The sequence below is a fragment of the Homo sapiens genome, chromosome 4 (genome assembly GCF_000001405.40).
Source record: "Homo sapiens chromosome 4, GRCh38.p14 Primary Assembly".
Classification (NCBI taxonomy): Eukaryota; Metazoa; Chordata; class Mammalia; order Primates; family Hominidae; genus Homo; species Homo sapiens.
The window spans coordinates 102185723-102196382 of NC_000004.12; positions in this window are offsets into that span (position 1 = coordinate 102185723).

A 10660-nucleotide genomic window follows, 5' to 3' on the forward strand; every position below is an offset into this window, starting at 1 on the left:
ACACACACACACACACACACACACACACACACCGTTTTCTAGCCCTAGTGAAGCTGTTAACTGCAGTAAGCCCTCAGAGGGCCAATTTTAGGTCAAAGGACCATAGCAGTTTGTGGGAAAGTGAGGGAGAATACCATTTATTTTCGTTCTAAGGACTCCATGATCAATTAGTGAAGTCCAAATGTGTCTGAAAATCAGACTATTCTGGTAACTATTTTGGCTTCTTTGTGCTTTACAGTAACAATAACTCGATTGCCTCTGCTGATTAAATGCCACACTTAGTCCCTGCCACCTAGAACCCCATTGTCTCATTGAACAAGGGAGTTCATTCTGATGGCAGCAGTTACTACTGTCATTTTTGGCCTATAGAGAATAGACCACGGAGCTCTTCCACGGTGATGCTGAGGGGTCCTTCATGAAAGGATTTCTCACAACCTTGGTAAAGTCAGTGTCCTCTGGACTGTCTGAACATAATTAGGGGATGGGTAAGTATGTCTTACATGATAAATTCACTCTAGCATTCCAATTTTTCTAAGCCTTTGAATACCTTTCTCTTCAGTATTCCACAAAAGTTCTGATATTTTAACTTCATTTAGTGTAGGGTGTCTTGGATTCAGGTTTCAGTGAACCAATTATAATTTTTAAAAAACTGTTAAGAGTCACTCTCAGCTGCTCACATTAACACATCGAATCCAAATCTGTGCTCAGTGCATCAACATGAATGAAATCAGTCCTGACATAATTCCTGAAAATCTATTTTGACATATATTCTCCAAATTTCCATCATCATTACAAATTGGCAAAATTTTGCAATTCTTTTCATGTGTGTTTAACTGCTTATGGTTCACATGCTATGCCTCACCCCTGGGATCTTTTGAAACTTAAATCTGGGTATAGTTCTAGAAGTATAACAGATGTCAAGGAGAGGTCTTGAGGAGGATCAGCAATCTCCCACAAGGCAACTACCCCAGGGAAGGCTGTTACAAGTACTTCAAGAAAGAGGAGACTTGGTGCGATAACTCAGAAACAGAAAATCAAATACCACATGTTCTCACTTGCAAGTGGAAGCTAAACACTGGATACACATGGATATAGAGACTGGAATAATAGACACTGTGAGTACAAAGGGATGGTGGGGGAGAGGGCTAAAAACTATCTATTGGGTACAATGTTCATTATTCGGGTGATGAGTACACTAAAAGCCCAGGCTTCACGGCTGTGCAATATATGCGTGTAAGAATCCTGCATTTGTACCAACTAAACATATAAAAATAATTAAAAAGAAAAAAAAGAAAGGGGACGGGCACGGTGGCTCATAATCCTGCATTTGTACCAACTAAATGTATAAAAATAATTAAAAAGAAAAAAAAAGAAAGGGGACGGGCACGGTGGCTCATAATCCTGCATTTGTACCAACTAAACGTATAAAAATAATTAAAAAGAAAAAAAAAGAAAGGGGACGGGCACGGTGGCTCATGCCTGTAATCCCAACACTTTGGGAGGCCGAGGCGGGCAGATTACTTGAGGTCAGGAGTTCGAGACCAGCCTGGCCAACATGGTGAAACCCCATCTCTACAAAAAATACCAAAATTAGCTGGGTATGGTGGCATATGCCTATAATCCCAGCTACTCAGGCGGCTGAGGCAGGAGAGTCTTTTGAACTCAGGAGGCAGAGGTTGCCGTGAGCCGAGATCGCACCACTGTACTCCAGCGTGGGTGACAGAGCAAGACTCCATCTCAAAAAAAAAAAACAAGAAAGAAAAGAAAAGAAAGAGGAGACTAATCTCTTCAGACAGGGGAAGAAGGGCTGCTTCTACTAACAAAGCAGCTTGATGGAATATATGGGTTCAAGGTCTTCAGCTTCCTCAGAATCTACTGATGTCTTTATCCCATTTTTCAGGATCACACTCCTTCCCAAACAATGCTCTAACTTTTACATAAAAGAGCTTTCAAGTTTAAGAATTTATTTATTTATTTATGTATTATTTTATTTTATTTTATTTTTTTGAGACAGAGTCTCGCTCTGTTGCCCAGGCTGGAGTGCAGAGAGGTGCAATCTTGGCTCACTGCAACCCCCACCTCCCAAGTTCAAGTGATTCTCCTGCCTCAGCCTCCCAAGTAGCTGGGATTACAGGTGTACACCACCACGTCTGTCTAATTTTTGTATTTTTAGTAGAGACAGGGTTTCACGATGTTGGTCAGGCTGGTCTCAAACTCCTGACCTTGTGATCCGCCCACCTCAGCCTCCCAAAGTGCTGGGAATACAGGCGTGAGCCACCGCACCCGGCCCAAGTTTAGGAATTTAATTTGCATTATAGAACAACTTTTAATTAGACTTTGAACTTGATTTTCAGAAAACGCAGTAACATAGCTACAAGACATACACACAACAGACACATACATCACACCTGTATACACCAAAAGTTTCTTTTAAGGAAGTCATGGAAGTGTTCTGGTCTCTTACCCACTTTGAGCTGGGAATTTAAAAGCTTAAGCTCAGAAATTTTCTTTCCACAAGTTCTCCAGTGCACTTAAAAGCAACCAGTGAATTCCATCATATTCCTTATTTTTTTCCTAAGTGGTCTATACTAGCAGCTACTTGGTCACCCAAAGTGTTGCCTTCTTTAGGTACATTAACACAGTTGATTCTACATCCGGTGTTGGGCCTGAAGTTGTATGGGTGGGCCTGGCTGGCAGTTGGGAGAAAAAGTGAATGTTAAGTGTGGAAGAGTCGTGACAAACGGGAACCCACAAGGACAAATTGAGTTCTGTGTCTGCTACTGTCTCTAACCTTGATGGAATTGGTGGTCTGCAGGAGAAGTTGGCATCCTTCATCCCTGGGATGAACAGGCACTTGACCCAGGACTTGGAGAAGCTGAAGGAGCAGCCCCTGAAAGCCGAAAGGACCACAGGCTCTGCTGATGCTCCAAGGTGGAGCAGCAGATGCCCCCCAAATTATATGAACAACGGCACCTGTTGTCTTACATAAACTTTTACAATGTAATAGCCACTGCTTTACCACCAACTTCCATATTGCTCTCAAATTTCTCTTGTGTCCAGGTCTAACTCTGAACCATACAGGAAGGGAATTCTGGGAAATATAGTTTCCACTTAGGTAACCCAATATGAAGCCACCATGTTATTCCTCCAATATTCTTTTCTCCTCCATTTCTTTTCTCTGACCCCGTTGCCCTTGCATCAGAATCCTTCCTCTTCCTTCAGTGAAATGAACAAAAGTCTCTATACATTCAGCTCACTCAAAGAATTATCTTGGGGGTAAGGGATTGTTTACAGGATCTCACATGCCTAATCTCTCCTCAAGCTTTAAGCTCCCTGATTGTGTGTGTGTGTGCATACATGTGTCTAGATATACATATATATATAGAGTATATTTGTGTATAAATACAGGTATAGTATGTATGTGCATACATATGTGTGTATGTGTAAGATCAGATCCTTGTTTATTTTGAAATATCATATTCATATTTTATAAATAAAATTTTCCTGTGGAGAAATGAATAAACTAATGCTAAAATTCCAAATAAACATGAAAATATTAAGTGGTGGTTCCATTACAATAATGTAGACACTAGGATGCATTTCTGCCAGTAAGAATCAATTAAATTAAATCAGAGATCAAAAGATCTCATATTATAGTTCTTTACTTTCTTCATTTTTCTCCACTACGGTATAATTATATAAAGTAGAATTCCAAGAGTATGACTGCCAGGAAAGGTTTATTATCAACCTTCGCTGATGTCTCTTTGTTAAATCACTTCTAAAGTGAAGTTCTTATTCATTATTGAGATTCTATTTTATTAAAGATTGATTTTGAAAAAGGTTTCAGATTCTTATAACATTCCATCTTTGGTAATTTCACCTGCATTTGACATTTTATTAAAAAGAAACTAATTTTGCTTCTTGATGACTCACGGAGTTCTTCATATCAGACATTTCTTTGTAGAAATTTGTTTATTTTATGAACTCATGGCCCCACACCATCACCCACACCTGAACACACATAAAAACTTAGTAAATAAATATGGTCTTCTGAGTCCTTCACTCTCCACCATACTGCCACTGGGCCTATGGGCAAGTGTGGCAAAAGGTAGAACTCTACAATAATTACAGGGCAAGCGTCACTCCTTTTCTGTGCTCCTACTTGATTTTTCTCCGTTTTCCCCTTCTGCAACCCCCATTGACTCTGACTTCCTACCAGAAAGAGACTATATCTTCTTTCTGTACATCTTTGTACTTGGCTTAATGAGGCACTCCCCACTCCAGAGTCGTGTGATATGGATTCCTAGTGTTACTGGCATTTGAATTGGGAGCACTTAAAAAAAAATTCAAAACCCCAAATTTCTAGACCTGTAAATGTAGCTCCCGGGCAGTGTGACAAAAAACACTACAAGGCCCTTGTACAGTACAGAGCTCTGCCTTCCCGCTTACTCATAAAGCCGACCCTTCCTATTGTACTTAGCAGGAATTGTGGAACACAACTGCATGGCCAGTGCCCAATTTCCCTAGACTGTGAAGGTAAAATAGGACAATTGTCTTCATAACTCTCTCTAATGAAATAATCCCTGTCCACCACAGTTTTACATATATATATATACACACAAACATACATATATACCAAAAAGTTTACTTCTATGCTGTTTTATAAAGATGCGTGATTTCGTTCAATGCGCTTAAAAATGTATATACAATAACAATGCACAACCGTGAAGATAGATAAGCAGAGGATAGGTTTATCCTCTACCTTTCAACATATGATGTAAGATCAGGGCCTGGATAAAGTACCCATGGTAATAATTTGTAAAAAGTTCTGGCAGCAACACTAGTCTTTGCTGAAAATCGCAAAATTGATTCAAGAGAGATTGCAAGGGCAAAATAAAATGTAAATTTCAACCCAGTAAAAGCTGATTTAACATCTTTTAACATAAAACTTGTGGGACACTCTGCCTCAGCAGGCCATAACACCAGCTGAACATTCTGCATAATTAAAGTCGAGTATTCAAGGTGAGTGTTAACTACTGGATCTGTTTTTAATGTAAATGAATCTGGGTTTTGTTGGAAGCGAGGGCCTTACTGAACATTTATATCCTCTATTAGAAATATCTATTTATTTTAATTTTCACTGTTCTTTCCTTTTTACTATGTTTTATAGAAAACATTGGTGTCTGAAGCCATACAATGAAGAATTTTCATAGATTATACTTGCAAAAGAAATACCAAAGTACCAGAAAGATTCTGTAAGACAAACCTAGGATGCAGACACTCTCTTCATTTCAAAAACTAGATATTTCCAGGGGCCTGAGAATCTAAACACTCCTCAAGCATTCAAGCAGACCAAATCAAGACGCTTCACATCTATGTCTTATTACTATTTTACAAATGAATGCAACGGTCTCATTTACAGACATCCTAGTAACCACCTCCCCTACCCCATTTTTTAAAGATTATTTAGCTCCTGGTTCACTTTCTCTTTCCCCATCATGATTTTCTATCCATATCTATCAGTGGTTATCAACCTTCACTGCAAACTGAATCTCATAAGGAGCTTTTAAAAAGTGATTATAGGCTGGGCACGGTGGCTCACGCCTGTAATCCCAGCACTTTGGGAGGCGGAGGCCCCCGGATCACGAGGTCAGGAGATCGACACCATCCTGGCTAACATGGTGAAACCCCGTCTCTACTAAAAATACAAAAAAATTAGCCAGGTGTGGTGGCTGGCGCCTGTAATCCCAGCTACTCAGGAGACTGAGGCAGGAGAAAGGCGTGAATCCGGGAGGCGGAGGTTGCAGTGAGCCGCGATAGCACCCCTGCACTCCAGCCTGGGCGACAGAGCGAGACTCCGTCTCAAAAAAAAAAAAAAAAGTGATTATAGGTCCCACTCTCAGAAATTCTGTTTTAATTTGTCTGAGATGGTGACTAGACTCTGGTATCTTTTTATGAAAAGCTCTCCAGGTAATTTTAATGAGCAGGCAGGATTGAGAATTGCTGAGGCAGATAATTCTCTCTACACTGGATTCCTTATTCCTAATCTTCCATGCTCCAGATATCACATACTTTACTTACTTCATTCGTCCACTCCCATGGTTATTTTAGGTTGGTGCAAAAGTAATTGTGGTCTTTTAATGGCAAAAACCGCAATTACTTTTGCACCAACCTAATACAATAGAGCTTAGCATTATCTGCAGTCCTCCATAATGTCAATTTTAAGCACTCGACTTCCTTTACTAGATCTTTTTCCAAAATTCTTAGGGCCTACTTTGGCACTCCATTGGCCACCACCTTTAAGCCAAAACTCCCCTCCTCATGTCTTCACTGCCCAGAATAATAATCACTCTTCTGTATAAACCATAACTCTCTTCTCTGTCTCACCTTCCCTTGTTTATGCCTTACAAAACCACAATAATGGATAAATCTTTAAGTTCCCGCGTTGACCTGTATCTCGTGTGGCTGGAGAAAAACACAACTATGTTTGTCTCTCTTTAAATCCTTGACCGCTAACAACAAGTGAGTCCTTAGAACTTTCTAGCAATCCAATTTTATTTCCCTTCTTAATTCACTCTCCTACTGTCCTAGTCGATTATTTTATACTTTTATTCTCCTCACATTTCTAATACCATTTCAATTTTCTTCATTCTCAAGTAATGGCCTTGCTTGTCATTTTAATAAGCAATTAGAAACCATCAGGAAATGAACTTCCACAATGATTATATTTGCCTCTGTATTTGTGTTCTTCGATTTTTTCTTCTTAGTCCTTAGCATCTGATACTGTCTTTTGCACATAATAGGTGCCTAAAAATCATTTGAGTTGAGCTGAACCTGACTGAACTATAGTATAGTCTCCTTGAACACACACTTCCTGGGCATTGAGGTGAGAGTAGACAAGAAACAGAGTAGGGAGACATGGGAAGACAGCCCAGGGCTTGGAGTTTTTTAATTGCTGTGAACAATCAAACAGTCAATTAATGTTACCTTGAGTGTTTGTTGAAGGCTGTCTCAGGAACATATTAGCAATTGCAGCATAAACAGGACACAATATCCTCTGCTTTTTTTTTTTTTTTTTTTTTTTTTTTTTTTTTGAGACAGGGTTTTGTTCTGTTGCCCAAGCTGGAGTGCAATGGCACGATCTTGGCTCACTGCAACATTTGTCTCCCGGGCTCAAATGATTCTGCTGCCTCAGCCTCCTGAGTAGATGGCACTATAGGCACAGGCCACTATGCCCAGATAATACATATATATTTCGTAGACATGGGGTTTCACCATTTTTGTCCAGGCTGGCCTTGAACTCCTAGGCTATAATGATCCTCCTGCATCAACCTTCCAAAGTGCTGGGATTATAGCCATGAGCCATTGCACCCAGCCCATCATCTGCTTTTGTGATTGTTCCTAGCAATTAAAAATTCCAAGTCTTTGATCATGTGCTTTACCTGATTCCAAGTTTCAGTAGTGAAATCCTCTAAGAATTAAAACAAGAAGATTTCTGCTTTTTGTTTTTGTCCTGAGAGAATTTCACCAGTGAAACTCAGAATCAGATAAAGCACATGACCAAGAGACATCATTATTATATAAGCTTATACAAAACTAATTTTGCTGCTGTCAGCATGTGCTTCAGAACTTCCTCTTTCATGTGAAAACAGGGTGAGCACTCCACCAAACTCTTAGGCATCTATTTCTGATCATCGGGGTCTTTTCTCACAATGTACTTTCTTTCAATGTTGGTAAAATTTCTCAATCCAGTATTTTTCAGAACTCTGAGATTAAAGTAGACTGATATCCTTCACAATGTCTTGTTCTTATTTTGGAGTAGATAATGGTCTTAAACCTTTCTTTAAAATGTGTGTTGCTAAAATTTGAACCACTTATCCCAATGATAATGGTCAACATTTATTTCAGAGTCCTAATTTAATCTTCTCAACAACCTTATGAAGCAGCTTATTATTACCATCCTCATTACCATATTATAAATAAGAAAATTGTGAATCAAAGAACTTATCTAATGTGTCTAAGATTACACAACTGAAAACTGGTGACCCTAGAGGTAAACCCAGGTAGTTTGGCTCCAGGGATACCACCCTTACCCCTAAGTAATAGGTGTCCCACATGTCCACCCCAGTTGTGCCTATGTGAGTAATGCGTGCCAGTGGCTAACTAGGACTTGCACTTTCGCTATTTTAAAAGATGAGAGTAGCTATGGAAAGCCTCTTTTAGAAACACTATGTGCCACTTTACTCAAATATCTAGGAAATCACTTATTTTGTGCAGATGCTGAACCTGCCTGAACAATTGCTCTGTCTCTGATTCCCAGTAGGATACCAAAGATGCTCTTGAAATAGAGAATCAGATCCCAAGTGAAACAGAGATCTAGTAGCCCATGCTGAGTAAGCAGGATAGCCAGTGGAATGCACAAACATAGGAGCAGAGATCATAATTCCTGCCTTTTGTGGGAGTCCATCAGACCTATATTGTTAAATGCATGGGATATCTAAAAATAAGGAATAGTAATTGATGCGTCCAGGAAGACTCATCTTTCTCTCCTTTTTAATTGTGCTTCCAAATTCATCTTCCTGAATATTATGATATTTTCTTCTTCATTTGTATTTATTTATTGTTGTTTTTATTCCTAAAGGTTTTCAAAATGGTGTCTTATTTTGGAGCACCCAAGATGTCTTCTTTTTCTCCTTTGATGGATCTCTTTGGAGAAGAGACCAAAAAAAAATAGTTTAGCGCTATTGTTGGGGACACACAATGCATTCTCATCAAAATTCTGAAAAATATTAGGGCAGCTATGGGAAGTTCCACTGTACAAGCTGCTATAATAATTATTTTTAAATATGTCTCTTAAAAATCACAAAGAAAGCTTTATGGAAGATGAATACAAAAATAGCAAAGAAAAAATTTTCTAGAATATTTATCTCAAACGAACATCCCCAGGAGGATGTAGTAGGAAGGAAGAGTTTAACCAGAACCAGTAACTAGAAATATAAACCTTTTTGGTTGTAAAGAAAACCACAAGATAGAATTTAATGCAAAATCACATGAATTGAAGCAGGAAGTTTGACATGAAATAATCTCTACCTGGGCTGCAAACTTCACTTTTTACCTTCATCTTCACAGGAGATCAAATTGACATTGAAATCAAAAGCAGATTTCTCTATAATTCAAAATAATGTCAGTGTATCACATTTAGCCTAATGCTATAACTCTGGTCAAGAATTATTCAGTTATATACCCAGGAGGTATACACAGGAGTACATAAAAGTATTGTTGGTTGATGCTTGCCTGCCTGCATAATCCAGATCTCTTACTCTAAATTTCTCATTCCAACTATAAAATGCAAATGTTAATATGGTTTGGTAAAGATAAAAGTCAGTATAACCTAAATCCAAGGATATCAGCATCTACATTGTCCAGAAATATATCCAGGACATTTCTGAATTTGGCTAGTTATGAAAAACAATTAGATACTGCTATAATTTTCAGTCAGATGACTTTCATTTCTACTTAAAGAGTGAAACATCTTAGAAATTAGAACTGAAGAAAGTTTGTACTTTATGGTACATTTGTAAGACATAAGATGTGTAAAGGATAGCATAAAAGTATTAGGACTTTGCCTCTATGAAAAATAGCGAATTCTTTAATTTTTATATGCAATAGTTCTGAGTGTTCCTTATTGCAAAACAACTTTCAGCAATGTTGTCTGGATTGTGAGGTCCTGAAAATAGATTCCAGACCAAGTTGATGGCAGTGAAAGTATTGAGAAGCAACAAATTCTAGATATATTTTAAAGACAAAGCCACAGTATTTCCTAACAGAAGGAATATGAGATGTAAAGACAAGAAAAGACTCAAAATCACTATAAGATTTTTGTCCTAAGATCCTAGAAGGATGGAGCTGACATCAACAGAGATAGGGAAAGCCACAAATGGAACTGGTTTCAATGGGAAGAGCTGGAGTTCAGTTTTGAATATGTTGACTTTGAAATGTTTGTTTGACATTCAAGTGGAGATGTGGAGGAGACAGTTGAACATACAGGTGTGGAATTTAAGACGTCTAGGAATGGAAATAAAACTTAGAAACTTGTTGGCATATGAACGAAGGATATTTAAAGCTATGAGAATATGTGAAGTTACCAAGGAAGTGAACAGAGATGTTGAAAAGAAAAGAACAAAAAACTGAACCATGAAACACTCTAACATGAAGTGCTCAGGAAAACCAGAAGCACTCAGCAATGAGAATGAGAAGGCACAGTATGTGAGATAGGGAAAGCCAGGAGAGTGAGAACTCTTGGAAGCCAGCTGAAGAATGAGTATTATGGAGAAGGGAGTTGGAGGATAGAGAACTATACATTGTACCTCGAAATGTGGAAGTTATTGATGACATTGATTAAGTTGGAAAAGCAGAAGAAAACGTTTAACATTTAAAATGCTGACTAGTTGTGGTAGGCAGAAAAACAGGCTTTCAAAGATGTCCATGTTCTAATCCCCAGAACCTATAAATATGTTATATAACACAGCCAAGGGGAATTAAAGTTGTAGATGGATTCTAATCAGCTAACCTTAAAAGGAGAGATTATCCTGGATTATCCAAGTGAGCCAGTGTAGCCACGAGCGTGCCTAAAAGTGGAAAAGGAAGGTGGAAAACGAGG